We start from the raw sequence: 18321 nt of genomic DNA, 5'->3' as shown, positions 1-18321 counted from the left end.
CAACACCAAGCCCTTGCCAAAGGATGATGGTGCACCCCTTCCTCGGGATACTGGGGGAATAAATGATCAGAAAGCCTGCCTCTCCCTCTCTATGCCCTAGGAGACAAGCCAGGTGAACAAAATTAAGGTAATGTAAGGTAGGATATGATAAACATTATGCGAGAGACCAAAAATTATTGCTGGGGGAGTTTACAAAGAGGAGAATTTCTTTTCTGGCTACAGAGATTCTGTGTTCATGGGAGTGGCTGTATTTGAGTTGGCTCTCAAATCATGAACAGAAGATGAACAACTTCTGATAAACTTCTGATAAAATTCAGATTTTCATTTACAAGCAGCCATTCTGGCCTCAGCAGACACGTCCAGAATGACATTACCATACATGTCTGTACCGGGACCATGTGTGGTCTTATAGTTCAGAATGTCATAATTACATTTGTAATCCCTCTTTCTGCAATGATATCATTTGCTTCCAGCACAAACCCAGATTGTTTGTGTGTTAAAATGCACAACCTGCCAACTTTGTTGGAAGCAGAACTAGTGTCAGGGCATATCTTGCTTTATTCGCTTTTGAGAAATGTTTTTTAAACTTTTGGCAATTGCATCTTAAAAACATAAGACAATTTTTTTTTTTTTTTTGAGACGGAGTCTCACTCTGTCCCCCAGGCTGCAGTGCAGTGGCACGGTCTCGGCTCACTGCAACCTCTGCCTCCCGGGTTCAAGCGATTCTTCTGCCTCAGTAGAGTAGCTGGGTCCACAGGCGCACGCCACCACACCTGACTAATTTTTGTATTTTTAGTAGAGACTGGGTTTCACTTTATTGGCCAGGCTGGTCTCGAACTCCTGACCTCGTGATCTGCCCGTCTTGGCCTCCCAAAGTGTTGGATTACAGGCGTGAGCCACCGCGCCTGGCCAAAAATACAAGACAAATTTTTAGACCTTATCCCTGACAGCTCTATCCAGGAAAGAGGCTGTAGCAGGAGGCGAGTCACACATTAGGGTGGGGCTCATTTTCAGGGTAGGCTCTAGACTCTTGGTCCTTAAACAGGGATGCACTTGTAATCACCTGGGGAGTCTGTTAGGCATCTGGATTCCTGGGGCACACTCTCAGAATCCCCTTAGGTTTATGACAGGATCAAGTGGATTTATTTAGATATCATTCCTCGAGTAATTTGTACTGTGTCTTGTGGTTTTAAGATGTAATTGCCAAAAGTTAAAAAGATTTTTTTTTCTCAAAGAGCAAGAGATACCCCTCATCAGGAATGGGATGGCTAATGCAAACTGCAACCCTATAGAATATCCACTTCAATACAGGCATCACGGCTCGGGTGGTGTCTGTATTGAGGTGCATATTATATGGGGCTGCAGCTTGCATTATTCCTCCAAAGCTGGTGTCCATTCACCTGGTTAGGAGCACAGACAAGGGAGCTACTTTGGTTCTAGTGCAGCTTAAAGGCCTATGAAGCCATAATCATAATTAAAGGTACCAGAGGGAGTGTCTGGTATACTCCATTTAGGTGCCTAGTACTGCACAGCCATTGCCATCTTCATGTACGTGACCTCTCTAATCCTGACCCCTCTTGTCTAGCTCTGGCGGAAATTTGCTCGTCTCGCCTGTAACTTTGTGGTCATCTTCATTCCCTGGGAAATGAGGATAAAGAAAATCGAGAGTAAGTATTTACACCTGGAGAGTGGGGCAGGAATGCAATGCTAGTGGCCAGTCACAGCCTAAGGAGAGTCTGCTGTGTTCTGGTCCTTATGCTGTGCAGCTGAGGGCACCCTCATAGCAGAGTCACTGGCCTCCATATGGAACAACAGACCCAGAAGACAAGATACCTGCCCCCACCACCTACCAGAATGGGAACAGTCTGGACGTGGGCCTTTCCACATTCCGCTGCGGCTCTGCTGTTCTCTCCCAGTTCATTCCTTCAGTCAGATATAATGCAAACCCCGAAAGGATCAAGTGAAAACCTATGAGGATGAATAAGAGGGTAGCTCAAGGAATTGCAAAACACAAATACAAAAATCTGCATTTTTATAGAGATAATTGTGCCCATTTAGAAAACATACGCCAAAAAATAAATAAATCATGTCTACGATCACACTGACACACACAATACCTGGAAGAGACTTAACAATAAGTCCAAAATATCCTGTGGTAAAATTATACCACAGGATAGAAAAGTCTTGTTAAAACACATATGAAGATTTAATATTTGGAAGATGTTAATTTTCCAAAAATTAATTTACAAGTTTGATGCAATCAAATAAAAATCTCAATGTATTGTTACCAAGTATTTAACAAAATGATCATAAAACTTATATGGAAGGAAAAATATCCAAGAGATTAATAAAAAAATTATAAAGAAGAATGCAAATGAAGTTGCATGATCAAGATATTAAAGTATATCATAAAGGTACAACAATTGAAGCAGTATAGCATAGTGTGGGAATTGATGGGCAAATCAAAGGAGTAAGCAAAAAATTCAGGGACAGACAGGAATACACTTAGACTTTTAGCATGCAATAATTATTGAAGTCAGTCTACTGCATAAATATCACTGGAACAATTGATTCAATTGTTTTAAAGAGTAAGTTTAACTCCTTCACTTAAAATTGATGGTATGAATGCAGAATGGAGACATATCTAATCATAAAAGTGAAGGAGGAAAAAGTACTGTTATTTTTAATTACCTAAAAAAAGAAAACTTACATACATAAAAAGTAAAGCTAAAAGTTAGATGACAAATTGGGAAAAACATGTTGAATATTTAAATGGATTAAGCACTTTGATATGCTGGCAGAAATGTAAATTAGGACAGTATTTCTTTTTTAAAAAGTTTTAATATGTACCAAAAGTCTTCAAAATGTTGTATACCTTGGTAATATGCTTCCGTTTCCAAAAAAAAAAAAAAAAGAGAAAACCGTAATAAACTAAACAAACAAGGCTGTAGTAGCTGCCATTAGTGCTGTACCCAGGTTGCCCTTCCTTGGCTAGTCTACCCTTTCCTCAGCTGTTGAGTATGGACTGCTTGTCACTCAGCTGCTCCCCTTCAGAGAATTGCCCCAGGACTACCTCCTATCACCCCAATCGCCCACTCACCACCTAGAGTCTAGAGGCAGTGACCATTGACAGAGGGGCATTCAAGTCTGATCCCTTGCTCCAAGTGGGACCAACTCAGTGGTGCAATTCATGCTGCAGAACTGCTGGTGGGATAGACTCAGCTAGGGTGCAGCTAAGATCGTGCCCTTCCCTGGCTCTTTCCCCCGACCTTCCCTGACTCCTTCACAACTTCTCTACGGAGAGTGCTTCCTCAACGAATCACCTGTAGCCAAATCCCTTTCTCAAGCTCTGCTTCTAGGAAACCTTACCTTAGACAGATATTATTTATTATAGAACTATTCAACCTGGTGAACAGTTGGAAATGTCCTAAATGTCAAGTCATGGGGAATAGTTTAAGTAAGTTATGGAAAATTTACTTAATGGAACAATAAAATTTATTTTATAGAAGAGTATTTTTGGCAAGAGAAAATGCTTGTAATATATTGATAATTTAAGATGTATGCTGGAGAGAAATGCCAATCTTATACAAAAACATTATTTGTATAGAATAATTGTGGAGGGTTACACTAAAAGTTTAATAGAAACTAATTCTAATCGTGATTTTAATTTAGTGATCACAGAATGGGTAATTTTTCTTGTCCTTGTGATGTTTTGTGTTTTGCTACTCATTATGACAAACATAAACTAGATTTGAAATAAAAATTTAAGAGTTTTTTTTTTTAATGACATAAAACTACCTACTCCAGAATGCTGTCAAATTGTTGCCTACATCCTCATCTGAGTTCTTCTATGCTCCTGGATTTTCTCAATAGATATAAATTTGTTTTTACTATGCTTTTTATTTTAGAATAAGTTTAGATGTATAGAAAAGTTGGAAAGAGAATTCCCGTGTACCCTTCACCCACGGTCCACTATTGTGAACATCTAGCAAATGGTGTTTTATCTTGAAATTAAGGCAAAAAGACCCTTAGCAAAATCCTTGAAATTCTCAAAATGGTGCAAAATAGATAAGAAATATGCCAAATTCTTAAAAGATGCTGATACTTGTTAACATACATGAAATATTGTAAATTTGATAAGACCATTTTAGATAAGTAAGTCATTAGGGAAGTGACTATCAAATAGCATTTTAGGCAAACTAGAGACTTTTCCTGCCTATAGAACTGATAGATATTCAGGGGCATCTTGATCTGTCTGAGTTAACATTTAGGAAGGAACACCTCGATTGGTACAATAATGGCATTCTTACTCTATGTCCCGTGGATGTAAAAAAAATTATGGTGTTCTTTTTGTAGGATTTCTTGCACTATGAGGATTTTATTTAAACTGTTCTCATTATCTTGTCTTTCTTTAGGTCATTTTGGATCTGGCGTTGCCTCCTATTTCATATTCTTGAGATGGTTATTTGGAATTAATATTGTGCTCACCATTATGACAGGTGCTTTTATTGTCATTCCAGAGGTAAGATGTTTCAGGAAAGTACCACTCATTACAAAGAGGAGACATTACAGCAGTCGCATAAAATGGCTCCTCTGGTTATCATTGTGGGGATGAAAATATATGTGTTTGTGTAAAGCAGGGCTTGGCAAACTTTTTCTGTAAAGGACCACAGAATAAATACTTTAGGCTTCATGGGCTACTTGGTGTCCGTCACAATGACTCAAATCTGCCGTGTAGCACAAAAGCACCTGCAGACAGTATATCAACCAGTGGATGTGGTTGTGTTTCAATAAAATTTTATTTATGAATACTGAAATTTGAATTTTATATAAATTATTTTGATTTTTTTCCCCAACCACTTAAAAATGCAAAACTATTCTTAGCTCTTGGGCCATACAAAAAGGCCATGGGTTGGATTTGGCCAACCAGCCAGTTTGCCAGCCCAAAGTTGAAATAATACCCAGACTGTGTACATTATTCAGATTATGGGAACACTAAAGCCCAGACCTCACCATAGCATGATGTATCCATGTAACAAAACCGCACTCGTGCCCCTTACATTTACATAAAGAAATAAAATCCATTTCTCAACTAAACTTCATCCTCAAAAAGTAAATGGGCCATTTCCCAACAGGGGTCTTAATAATCCACCTGTAGAAACCATGTCTAGCTCAGAGAGAGTACATCCAGGTGAGCTCTAATCAGGCAAAAAGAAAATCTGGCCGCCCAAGATTAATTTTTCATTAATGAAAATCAAGCAGAAATCCACCCCCTGGAGATCTCTTATGTGTGGCATTTTCACAAGCACATGGAGATCAACCTCTCATTTTCTCCCGGTCCCCTCCCACCCAGAGGACCACATGACATGCTTTCTTCTCTCACCAGCTGATTGCAGGCCAGCCCTTTGGAAGCACAGCCAGGAAGACCATCCCCAAGGAGCAGGTTTCGTCTGCCCAAGACCTGGACACCGTCTGGTCTCTGGGGGTGAGATTGATGCTTGGCCACACTCTTGTCTTGAGGGAAGGGGTGAATGGGCCACAGTTCTGAGACCTGGGAACGGGAAGCAGAAATGACACTGAGTGTTTTCTTTGCAGGGCTACCTCCAGTACTCTGTCCTCTTCTACGGATATTACGGCAGGGAGAGGAAGATCGGGAGAGCTGGCTACCGGCTGCCCTTGGCGTATTTCCTAGTGGGGATGGCAGTGTTTGCTTACAGCTTCATCATTCTTTTAAAAAAGTATGACTGCTCAATTTCTCAAAATACATATCAAGCGTTATGATATGTGTAATGGAAGTATTTTCTTACAGCTTCATCATTCTTTTAAAAAAGTATGACTGCTTGATTTCTCAAAATACATATCAAGTGTTATGATATGTGTAATGTCATCTAATCTTGTCAATAGCCCTGTAAAGTTAAGGCATAACTGTATCCATTTTACAGATGAGAAGAACCAAGGCTAAAAGAGGCATGTTCATTTTAACAAGTACTTATTGAACACTTACTGCTTTGTACTAGGTCCTATATTGGGCCTGGAAATACAAGAATCATATGGATTTACCAGTTCATGTAATTTTAGACAATGTGGTAGCTGCACTAATAGGGACATAAGCAATATGATCTAGGTGACCAGAGGTTGCAAAAAGCAAAAGGTCCTCCTTTGGTTGTATGTTTGTTTGCCTGTGACCTAGCTACAAATTCTGCAAAGGCCAGGCTTGTCTGTGCTGTGATGCAGTTGGCACCTCTAGGTCATCACTGGGGAGGCAAAATGCAAAAGACGCAATCTGGTGGGGGTTAGGAGCTCTGCACCACCCCGACTGTGAGACCTGTAGGAACTCACCTTCCTTCCCTGAGCCTCATCTGTAAAATGGGTAGGTTGGCTCAGAACATCACCAGGTCTTCCGTGTGGGAGCTAGAGAAATGCAGACTGATAAGGAGGCTCCAAATCCCGGGGAAAAGCTGGCCCCACCCACGCTGGTTCATCTGCTGCTTCTGCTTGATTTGTGTAACCACCCTTCATTGCCCAACCCCCTTGTGGCATGTTAGCAAAATGCAGATAGAAGCACTTGGGGTAAAAAAAGACAATAAACAAATAAACAAAACTTGAGGAGGTGCATAATGACCTAGGGGCCTTCAGTTCCCCTGAAGCTTTCCAGCTTAGCTCCTGGTGGCTTCCAGGACCCACATGGAAGACTCGGGCCCTTTACTAGACATACAATGTAAGAGACAGATTAGAGCAAACTTGGAAGCAAGAAATATGGATGGAGAGGAGAGCTTATTACAGGAGAAAGGCTCTAAAAAGTAGGGAGAGTTTCACCTAAGGAGGGTTGATGACTCCTGCCTTCAAATATCTAAAGAAATGTGGGAAAGAGGGACTCAGCACGTTACGTGGAGTCCCACGGGGTGGAGTTCCCATGGGAAGGAGCTCCAAGAAGACTGATTCAAAGGAAAATTTTATTTCACAATCACAGCTGCAAAGAGATGAGAACAGCTGGCTCCTGGGGCACACACACCTGCAGTGACCTGCTGGGCACCACAGTGGTGGGAGTCCTTGTCAAATGAACTCATATAATAATGGGCCATTGCAGTTTTCACACTGTTCCAAAGTGTTGCTGAGGTCACAAGCATGGGCAGAAATCCAGTCGGTGCTCTCCTGTCCAAGCTGTGACCCGAGGAGCTGCGTCCACCCAGAGGGGTGCAGCCTATGCTAATTCACACAAAGGCTCCATGGGTGCTAGCTACAGCCCCCTATTCCTGAGACTCCCAAGACCTGTTTGTGCTCCTCTTTTGCAGGATGGCTAAGAACTCCCGCACGAGTCTTGCCAGTGCTTCCAATGAAAACTATACCTTCTGCTGGCGGGTGTTCTGTGCCTGGGATTACCTCATTGGAAACCCAGAGGCTGCAGAGAGCAAAACAGCTGCCATAGTGAACAGCATCAGGGTGAGTGAGTGAGCCTGTGCAGCCTGCGGGGGTGGGCAGCTCAGGGTCAGAGCCAGCCGCTGGCCCTCAGCTGGAAGCCAGAACCATCCTCTTCCCATTGATGTTCATTGTCCAGGGCAGTTGTTTCCAAAGTGAGGTGAACATGCTCCAGGAAATGTACCAAATAACTCAATGAAGGGAGGGAGAAACATTTTGAAACTCCTTTCTTTTTAAACTTTTCCATTTTATCCTTTTAAAATTTCAGTTTGTATATTTTAGATAATTTACATAATGGATTATTACCATGATGCATGTATATAACCTGAAAATGAGCGAATACATATATGTGAGGGATATAGGCTTTTACTTTTAACTTAGAAAATAATGCAATCAAAAATATTCAGAGACTTAGCTCTATTGAACTATACAGACAGCTAAATGGTGCACTATTTTGAGAAAAAAAATCTACTTAGATAATTTAAATTACAGCCATACTATCTCCCAATCCCTCTTCCCAACCGCCAATATTTTTTCAATTGATTAGATTATTGATATCTAATTCATTTATATCAATTGAATCCTACAGAATAAAGTCTTAGACAATGAAGGTATGAGCTAAATTACTGGGTAAATTATTTCTAATGATTTATAATTAATGATGATGCTAAGCTTTTATTGCTGTATGTATTTTTCTTAAAGGAAGCTATATTGGAAGAACAGGAGAAAAAGAAAAGCAAAAACCTGTAGGTATTATTACTCCCCATGCTGAATTCATTGATAAGTTTTATTTTTAGTTTGGTACAAAAACTACCAGATCATCTATATCTTATTTTCATAATTGTCAGGCAGCTCTTCTTTCTTCCTTTCTCATAATGTGATCTGAGGGAACTGAATGATTTTTTCCTTAGCAATATTTAGGACGACTTCCTCCTTCCATAGATCCTGTAACAAGGGTCACAGGGTCTGAAATTGACCAGTTTCTTATTTCTTACTCTTTTACTTAGATAATAAAAGAGGTATTTTGAGCACCAACTTATGCTGTTAAGACTAGTTTTATTTAGAAACTAGTCATAAGACACAAATATTATCCAGTTGGTGTTCACAAGCCTTTCAAGATGATTTCCTAGGTTCAAGATTCTTCTCAAGATCTTGAGAGCTATGCTGGTGAGGGTGAAGCCCTTCAAACAGAGAACTAATGAAAGGGAAAGCCATTCCCAGGGAAGGGCAATGGCCCTGACCTCATGAAGACAGGTAGGTCTGTTCATCCCACATCCTTACTGGTTATTTAGCCCTCATGATTAGTTTCCACAGTGCAGAAAGCCCATTCGGAGGACTTGTACAAAAGGACATGGGGAATTAAGGAAACACACCCAGCCTCTGGAATAATGAGGGAGCTTAGGGAGTGGGGGAGGAGTTGGAAAGGGCTGTCCATAGGGAGTCAGAAGACATGGATTCTAGTCCTCTCTGTCATTAATGTCGATAACCTGGGAAATGCTCCTGAACTTCATGAACCTGAAGTTCCTCACCTATAAAAGTATGGGATTCTGCCATCTGATTCTTTTTCTGTAGCTCTCCTCCACCAGAGTTGATAATAATAATAACAACATACTGTGCCATGTTGTTATTTTTACCAAGCAAAGTGACATTTATCTTCTCATTTGGGAATGTTTCCTCATTGTGCAAATCAAGGGCCAAAACATGTGTAGAGGGAAGAGTTGTGATCTGCCCAAGGTCCCCAGTGGGTAGAAATTTCATGGAGAAGATAGTATACCTTGGGTGCCCCTTCAAATCCTCTTGGCCATACTTTTCTCCAGCCCTTGCTACTGGGCAGGACTGTGCAGGCCACCACCAGCTGCACACATGTACCCCTTGCTCGTACCCGCTGTTTGGTGCCCCAGGGATCTTCTGAGGCTGCTGCATAGGGAACCCACAAGATCCCAGTCAACACACATGCACGTGCAACCAAGAGGCTGGGTGCAATGCTGGGAGTGAATGCTCATGGAGCTACCCTGAACCGCTGGGAATAGAAGAAATGCTTTCCTATTTCACACTGGGCAAACAGTTCTGTCAGGCATTTCATAAGCCCCTCAGAAGGCCCTGCATTTGCCTCTAGCTGCTGCCAACCCCATTGCATATCCTTGTACTGATGGCCCCTCTCTCCTGCTCCACTCCAGGACCTCCACTCCTGCTTTCTGGGATCAACCTCCACTCCTGCTTTCTGAGATCACTTCCCAAATAAACTATCTGCAAAAAGGACTGGGATTCCAGGCCTTAGCCAGGCTAAGACAAGCTCCAAAGTTGGCAGAAGAAGGTGCCTTCAAAATAGGCCAATTGAAGTCAGACAGGGAGTTGTCCTCCAGTGTTAGAAAAAAATGGATATGTTTCAGTTAAAACCAGAAACATGTATGTAAGTACTAGAATCATTACTGATTCACACACCTGCCCTCACTATCAGAGGCATATGAGAAGTGAGACCAAATTAGGAAAGAGATGAGCCCTGTGTCTCCCATCTCATGGGCAATTAGTTGCTCCTTTATTTACTTATTCATCTAGCAAATATTTATGAAGCATCCATATATGCTAAGCCTGTTTTAAGAGCTGAAGATAACAGCATTGAAAAAGGCTAAAAAGCTTAGAGCTTACTTCTAAAGAGAAAAGACAATTAAGAAACTACCAAAGGAATAGTCAGATGTTGCATAGTGACAGGATCACATTCCAAGAAATGTGTCTTTACACAATGTTGTCCTTGTGTGAACATCATAGCATGTACTTACACAGAGCTAGATGGTATAGCCTACTACACACCTAGGCTATATAGTATAGCCAATTGCTCCTAGGCTACAAACCTGAACAGCATGCTACTTGTATTAAATACCGTAGGCAATTGTAACACAATGGTATTTGTGTATCTAAACATATCTAGACATAGAAAGGTACAATAAAAATGTGGTATAAAAGATTAAAAAATGGTACACCTGTATAGGGAACTTACCATGAATTAGCTTACAGGACTGGAAGTTGCTCTGAGTGAGTCAATGAATGAGTGATTAGTGAATGTGAAGGCCCAGGACACAACTGCATACTAGCGTAGACTTTATAAACACTGTACATTTAGGCCTCACTATATTTATTTCTTAAAGTTTCTTTAATAATAAATTAATCTTAGTTTACTGTCACTTGTTTATGAACTTTTAAATTTTAAAAAACTGTTTGACTCTTGTAATACTTAAAACACAATCACATTGTACAGCTGTACAAAAACAGTTTTTCTTTATATCCTTATTCTATAAGCTTTATTTTTAATTTTTTTAACTTTTTACACTTTTTTTGTTAAAAACTAAGACCAGGCCGGATGTGGTGGCACACACCTGTAATCCCAGCACTTTGGGAGGCCGAGGCGGGCAGATCACCTGAGGTCAGGAGTTTTGAGACAAGCCTGATCAACATGGGAAAACCCAGTCTCTACTAAAAATACAAAAATTAGCCAGGTGTGGTGGCAAATGCCTGTAAATCCCAGCTACTCAGGAGGCTGAGGCAGGAGAATCGCTTGAACCCAGGAGGCAGAGGTCGCAGTGAGCCGAGATTGTGCTATTGCACTCCAGCCTGGGCAACAAGAGCAAAATGCCATCTCAAACAAACAAACAAACAAAAAACAAACAAACAAAAGACTAACACACACATTAGCCTAGGCCTGCACGGAGTCAGGATAATCAATATCACTGCCTTCCACCTCCACATCTTGTCCCACTGGAAGGTCTTCGGGGCCATAACACGCACGGAGGTGTCATCTCTTATGGTAACAGTGCCTTACCCTGGATGCCTCCTGAAGGACCTGCCTGAGGCTGTTTTACAGTTAACATTTTGTTTTAAATAAGTAGAAGTATACCCTAAAATAATGATTTAAAAAATATAGTAAATACATAAGCCAGTAACAGTCATTTAATTCATTATCAAATATGTACTGTACATAATTGTATGTACTATACTTTTATACAACTGGCAGTGCAGTAGGCTTGTTTACACCAGCATCACCACAAATGTGAGTGCAATGCATCATGCTACAATGTCCTAGGCCATAGGAATTTTTCAGCTCCAATATAATCTTATGGAACCACTGTCATATATGCAGTCCGTCATTGACCAAAATGCCATTATGCGGCACATGACTGTACAATGTCAGATTCATTATATGGGATGACAGGCAGAATCATGTGTCCTCCCTTCCTCTCTTCCTCCCTGCCTTCCTTCCTCCCTCCCTCTGCTGAACACATTTACTTGAATTCCTATATCTTTAATGTGCATACCACAAGACTCCAATTTCAAGTAGTGAAGCTAGAACTGAACCCCAAATACTCTGACTCTAAAACAAGAGGCGTTTATTTGTTCGTCTGTTTGTTTCAAACCCCACTGATGCAGGCTGGTTGAATTTATGACTGGTCGTTGATCTCTTAGAAAATGAGGAATTCTAGGGTGCTGGGTGGGGTGGGCTGGAAGTGCATTGATGCTTCAGGGCAGAGAATCCTCTTGGCAATGGATGTGTTCCAGTCCCCAAGTAGTGTTGTCTTTGCATCGTGGTGCTGTGAGCAGGACCCTGTGTACCGTTCTCATGCCTGTTTCTCTCCCCAGGGCAGTGACCATCTGCCTGAGGATTATTGCCAACATCCTGGTGCTTCTCTCACTGGCTGGGAGCATTTATCTCATCTACTTTGTGGTGGACCGGTCCCAGAAGCTGGAGCAGTCGAAGAAGGAGCTGACACTTTGGGAAAAGAATGAGGTACCCACTGCCATTACCTGCAGCACCCTAGAAAAGAGACATAGCTGGGCACAGTGGCTGATGCCTGTAATCCCAGCACTTTGGGAGGCTGGGGCAGGTGGATCACTTGAGGTCAGGAGTTCCAGCCCAGCCTGGCCAACATGATGAAACCCCATCTCTACCAAAAACACAAAAATTAGCTGGGCGTCGTGGTGCACACCTGTAGTTCCAGCTACTCAGGAGGCTGAGGCAGGAGAATCCTTGAACCCAGGCGACGGAGGCTAGAGTGAGCCAAGATCACGCCACTGCACTCCAGTGTGAGCAACAGCGCGAGACTCTGTCTCAAAAAAAAAAAAAAAAAAAAAAGAGAGAGAGAGAGACACAGAAAAGTAGCCTGCCTCTCTGTTCCTTATGTAAGTTAGGTGGGAATATCTCTAGGAAAAAACTTTAGTCCTCTTGTCCTAGAGCATTGACTATAAGGACTTTGAGCCAGAGGGGCAGCACTAAGGCTTGGCAATTTTATTCATCTCCTTTGGGAAAGAGTTTGATTCAAAAACACCTTCAAGCATTTACACCGTTCTCTACCTTTGAGCCTCACCGACTGTGTTTTGCCTTTTGCACATCTGTTTCTTCACATCCATGTTCCACATTCCTGCAGACTGGAATTAACAACTACACTTATTCCATAGTATGGATTAAAGTTGACCAGGTGTCATTCGTGAATATTTAGGTAGTTTCTGAATATCTAAATGACAAATAATGCTTCCAGAACCAGCTCTACACAAATGGTTTGTTTTTTAAACAATCTTCTCCCCCCCAACCCCCGTTGTGTGAATATTCCCATAAATAGAAAATCACCAAGTGAACGGTTATGAACAATTTTGGAATTCTAAATATTCATTTTAAGACCATTGTCCTGAAAGGTTGGCCCAATTTATCTATACAGATTTGAAAGGCAGAAATAGCACAAAAACCACCTCTCTGACCATTTCTATGAAAATTATTTCCCTCTTTTGGGATTTAAAAAGAAAGATGTGTAAGATGGCCATCAATTTACCGTGTGCATATTTATCAATGTACAGTAATTTATCAAAATCTGAGCCCACCCTAGATAATCTTTTCCCATGCCTCTATTTTATGCCAATTGAGTTGCTGTGTGCTTGTATGTTTACAGACAGAAATATGAATAGTTTTTGAAAGATATATTCAGAAATTATTTCTTATTTTATCTCAAACATCTTCTGTACCAGCTAAAACTCCTCTTTCTTCTGCTCTAAGTACAAAAGCCAGGCCTAATTCTCTAGATAATTAATCTTCCATGTACAGAAAGAATATTACATTACCTCTCAGGCTTTCCTTTTCTATTGGTAATAGTTGCAGTTATTTCCATCTTCCATCCAAGGTCAGGGAAGTATAAATACTGTGAGATGGTAATTGGGGAAAATGTGGCAGAAATGCTAGTGAATCCTTTTTGTTTTTTGAGTCAAGGTTTCACTCTGTTGCCCAGGCTGGAGTGCAGTGATCCAATCACAGGTCACAGCAGCCTTGAACTTCTGGGTTCAAGAAATTCTTCTGCCACAGTTTCCCAACAAGCTGGGACCATAGGCATGTGCCACTTTTTTTTTTTTTTGGTAGAGATGGGGTCTTGCTGTGTTGCCCTGGCTGGTCTTAAACACCTGGCCTCAAGCAATTCTCTTGCCTCAGCCTCCCAATGAGTTGGGACCATAGGCATATGCCAGCTTTTTTTTTTTTTTTGTAGAGATGGGGTCTTGCTGTGTTGCCCAGGCTGGTCTTCAATGCCTGGCCTCAAAAAATTCTCCTGCCTGGGCCTCACAAGCCTCCCAAAGTGTTGGGATTACAGGTGTGAGCCACAGCACCTGGCCTAGTGAATCCCAAATGGGATGTATGAGTGTCCTCAGAACATTTAAGGAGAGTTCAAAAAAAAAAAAAAAAAAGACCATGATAAAGTGGTGGCCGCCTTTTGAAAAAAGTTAATTAGCAGAGATTTGGGGGGATTTTCCATGGAGGATCCAAGGACCCTGTGGAAAGCCACTGATCCAATATTAGGGAAAGAGATCAAATGCACATGGTGAGGGCTGGTGGGGGGTCCTGGGAATGTCTGGCTCTGGCATGTGCTCTCTCAGCAGGTCAGTGTGGTGGTCTCCCTCGTCACCATGATAGCACCATCAGCCTTTGACCTCATTGCTGCCTTAGAGATGTACCACCCCAGGACCACGCTGCGCTTCCAGCTTGCAAGGTACAACAGTCCTGCCCAGAAATGCCACCTGTGGCTCACCCATGTGCCCACCCACAGTGGGAATGTAAGTGCCTCAAGAGCCAGGGCTTGCTTCTTTTCTCTCAGACAATCAGCACAGAACTTTACCTATGGATGCAACTCAAGAAAAGCATAACCCAAGAGGAGGGATAGGGGAGGAGGCAGGGGAAGAGGAGGAGGAAGGGAGGAGGAGGACCAGGATGACAAGGGTAGAAGAAAAGAAATGAAGAAGAGGAAGAAGAGGAGGAGGAGAAGGGAAAGGAATAAAGGAAGAACAGGCAGAAAAAGAGGACACAAAAGGGAACCAAGGGTCGGGCGTGGTGGCTCACGCCTGTAATCCCAGTACTTTGGGAGGCCGAGGCGGGTGGATCACCTGAGGTCGGGAGTTCAAGACCAGCCTGACCAACATGGAGAAACCCTGTCTCTACTAAAAATAAAAAAAAATTTAAAAAATTAAAAAATAGCTGGGCGTGGTGGCGCATGCCTATAATCCCAGCTACTCGGGAGGCTGAGTCAGGAGAATCGCTTGGCAGAGGTTGAGTCAAGGTTGCGGTGAGCCAAGATCACACCACTGCACTCCAGCCTGGGCAACAAAAGCGAAACTCCATCTCAAACAAACAAACAAACAAATGAACAAAAGGGAACCAAGAAGAGGTCTGGCAGTGTCTGGTTTTCCCCACTGTTCTGTTTTCTCCGTGGTTTAACTCTGAGTGGTGAGAGGGACCCATGTTGTTTTTCCAGACGCAAGAAGAACAGTCAATGCTTTGTGAACAGTTCCCCCAAAGTACAGACTCAAAGAGTTCCTTGTAGATATGCCTGGAAGCTTTGCCAGGACAGTCAGTGGCTGTGACAGCAGGTGGTTGAGGAAGACCTGAGCAACAGTAGGCTGATGCACCTGAGGGGACGTCCTGAGACACCTTCTATGGGAGTCAGAACAACCACACTCATTTTGAGCACTGGCTTTATCAGTATTTTCCTGAAAAATTTGCCTGTTCTCCCCGGAGTATGGTCTCTTCATTTACAAATTTAGCTACTGTAGTAGGGCTGGGTGAGGCATTGTTAAACTGAATGTGGCAGAGGGAGGCAGTGAGAGCCCTGCTTACCTGATCTCACCTTCAACCTGGTCTACACTAGTTTCTCCCCATTTCCTCTTGTAACACCTAATAACATTCTACAGAACTAATTTTCCACAGACCACTTTGGGAAGATTTGCTCTCATTCAGGAATTGGCAAACATCTCCCAAAAAGAACTAGATAGTAAATACTTGTGGTTTTGTGGGTCACACAGTCTCTATCACCACTACTCAACTCTAAGGTTCTAGCATGAAAGCAGCCACAGACCATACGGCGATGAACAGGTGTGGTCGTGTTCCAATACAACTTTACTGACAAAAATAGGCAAGGGTACGGTTTGGTTTGAAGGCCATAATTTCCAACCCCTGAAATTCAACTGTCATTTCAAAGAGAGAAAACATGACTAGGAAGAGCATGGAGTTGGTCAAACCTTCATGGCCCAGGGTAGATCTGGGATGAGCCTCTCAGCCCACTGGCTATTCCTGGTTCTTTCTGCTCCACCCAACACGTCTTTTGACCTGCAACAGAGAAGCTCCTTCCTCACTAGCAAGTATTGGGTGGAATCAATTCCATTATTGCATTTGGTCTAAAGGCAATGCTATTATATAAATTGGCCTCGTTACTCATGTTGAAAACTAGAGAAACAGAGGCATCAGAGACTTCCCCCAGACAAATTAGGGCTAATTCTGGTAATAAGCATAAGACATATTATTTCAGTTCCATTAACTCACCAGCAGACTGTGTTACCTTCTATCCAAGGCACAGAGTGATGGTAATGCCAAGACAGCAGGAGAGGAAATGCATTCAATCCTTCCTTTGGCCAACACTTACTGAATACACACTGAGGGGCTTGCCTTGTACTCAGTACTGTAAATGCACTGTGCCCACGGGAATCCCGTCTCAATTCAGAGGGAGAGCCCATGTGAGTTATAATGCTGTCCCCTGGAGATGCCACTTTCCTGTTTCTCTGCCCACTGCCTGCACACGGGTGGTCAACTTTATACTTGAGGAGATGCGGAAGGCCTGGGGGGATGGTTTCAACTTGGAGTCTTTTCCTCAAGATAAAGATGCTTTCCCATCAACTTTCTCAATTGGTTTCACGATTCTCCCATCAATTGGCTTCATTTTTCTCCAAGGGCTAAGTGTTGTCTCACTGAAGTGTGTATAAACCTGTCGTTTCCTTTCTCACTTCATTTTCCCAGACAGGTTTCCAGTAAGAACCAAGGCTGCATCCTGGGAAATTCCATGATGTGTTTCCAAAACCTTCCAGCACTAGGGAAACTGACATCAAGTCTTTGATCATTGGCTGATCCAGACTGTTGCTGGCAGGTTCCATTCACTCCCAGTGGCTGACAGGGTGTAGTTGTACCCACAGCTTTTCAGTGCTTCTGAGGGGTCCAGCCTGTATTTCAGAAGCAGAGCACTGAGGTCCTGAAATTGCATTCTGCTGCTTTTTAATTGTGTGAACTTGAGCTGGTGACTTAGCTCCCTCTGCGCTTCAATACACTTGTCCCTTAAGTGGGGATTATTACAGAGCTGCTATGAGGATCAAATGAGATAATGCATGGGAAATCAATTCATAAACCAGAAAGCATGACTCATAAACTACACGTTTTAGGGCCCCACTTCCTAAACTCACATTTTCTGCTACACTAGTGTTTGTAAAGTACAGATCCAAGGATGGGCTATAGCAGAATCACCTGGAAAGGCTGTAAAACAATTTCCAGACCCCTTCCAGACCTACTAAGGGTGGATTCTGGAATTCTTTTTAAAAATGCCCGCAAGGTGATTCTAGAGGAAACCAAGTGTGGCAGCCACTGCCTTAATATATCCATGACAGTCTTTAGAACCATGTGGGGGCTCTAGAACCACGGACTTCTATGCCATGGTCTTGTTTCTCAAGGTGGGCTTGTGGCTTTCAGGGTCCTTGTGCTGTATTTGGGAAATCTCTACAGCCTGATCATTGCTCTCCTGGACAAAGTTAACAGCATGAGCATTGAGGTGAGTGCCCATCCCAGATAGTTGCCTGCCCCACCTCTGCCCTCTCTGCTACCTCCTCCCAACACCAGGGTCATCATCGTGGACAGGATCACTGCTTATACTTGTACTCCATAATCATGTGCAAAACTTGACTTTGCTGGAGTCTTCTCAAGGTAAGGAGAGAAAAATGATCCCTGTTTCCCAGATAAAGAAACTCAGGCCACAGTGCATGACTAGTAAGTGATGGTGCTGGGATGAGAACTCCAGAATTTTTGACTCTTTGTATCATACTACCCCATTTCTTTGAATCCCATCAGGAAAAGGCTATCAACAGCTATTGCAAACGATCACAGGAAGAGCAGCAGGCCATGGGACTCACTCAGAAAGTCAGGACAGAATAATCATTTCATGGGGAACAGTTCAGAGGGGACTTACTATCCCAGCCCAGCAGGAGTATTTGCTCCCAACCTAGAGTAGCTTTGGTGTCCACCTTTTTTTTTTTCTTTTTTGAGACAGGGTCTCGCTTTGTTGCCCAGGCTGGAGTGCAGTGGCACAATCACTGCTCACTGCAGCCTCAACCTCCCTAGGCTCAAGTGATACTCCCATCTCAGCCTCCAGAGTAGCTGGGACTAGAGCTGCGTGCCACCGCTGCATCTGGCTATTTTTTTTTGTATTTTTTATAGAGATGGGGTTTCACCATGTTGCTCAGGCTGGTCTCAAACTCTTGGGCTCAAGCGATTCCCCTGCCTCGACCTCCCAAAGTGCTGGGATTACAAGTGTGAGGCATCACGCCCAGCCTGATGTCCACTTTCAACCTGCC

General features: G+C 42.7%; 1 protein-coding gene and 1 long non-coding RNA gene across 2 annotated transcripts in view, besides 1 other annotated feature; one reads left to right on the top strand and one right to left on the bottom strand.

The window, feature by feature from the left end:
* TMC3-AS1 (TMC3 antisense RNA 1) overlaps positions 1 to 18321 on the bottom strand; it is a 118744-nt gene that overhangs the window by 79190 nt on the left and 21233 nt on the right. The window contains exons 4-5 of the long non-coding RNA NR_120365.1: positions 5384 to 5551; positions 1851 to 1968 (exon numbers count right to left, since the gene is read on the bottom strand). This is a non-coding gene — a long non-coding RNA (TMC3 antisense RNA 1). The remainder of the gene's footprint in view (positions 1 to 1850; positions 1969 to 5383; positions 5552 to 18321) is intronic.
* TMC3 (transmembrane channel like 3) overlaps positions 1 to 18321 on the top strand; it is a 43126-nt gene that overhangs the window by 10327 nt on the left and 14478 nt on the right. The window contains exons 4-12 of the mRNA NM_001080532.3: positions 1586 to 1667; positions 4416 to 4522; positions 5387 to 5485; positions 5596 to 5738; positions 7293 to 7440; positions 8119 to 8162; positions 12046 to 12193; positions 14320 to 14429; positions 17444 to 17522. Of these exons, the coding sequence (NP_001074001.1) occupies positions 1586 to 1667; positions 4416 to 4522; positions 5387 to 5485; positions 5596 to 5738; positions 7293 to 7440; positions 8119 to 8162; positions 12046 to 12193; positions 14320 to 14429; positions 17444 to 17522 (960 nt within the window). The remainder of the gene's footprint in view (positions 1 to 1585; positions 1668 to 4415; positions 4523 to 5386; positions 5486 to 5595; positions 5739 to 7292; positions 7441 to 8118; positions 8163 to 12045; positions 12194 to 14319; positions 14430 to 17443; positions 17523 to 18321) is intronic.
* Positions 6922 to 7421: an enhancer, noted in NCBI's record as "H3K4me1 hESC enhancer chr15:81648807-81649306 (GRCh37/hg19 assembly coordinates)". NCBI's record gives its function as "activates a minimal SCP1, AML or CMV promoter by ChIP-STARR-seq in naive H9 embryonic stem cells {active_cell/tissue: H9 hESC(naive)}" and the evidence as "EXISTENCE:reporter gene assay evidence [ECO:0000049][PMID:30033119]".

This window comes from Homo sapiens, chromosome 15 (assembly GCF_000001405.40).
Source record: "Homo sapiens chromosome 15, GRCh38.p14 Primary Assembly".
NCBI classification, from domain to species: Eukaryota; Metazoa; Chordata; class Mammalia; order Primates; family Hominidae; genus Homo; species Homo sapiens.
This window is presented reverse-complemented; position numbering and strand designations above follow the sequence as displayed.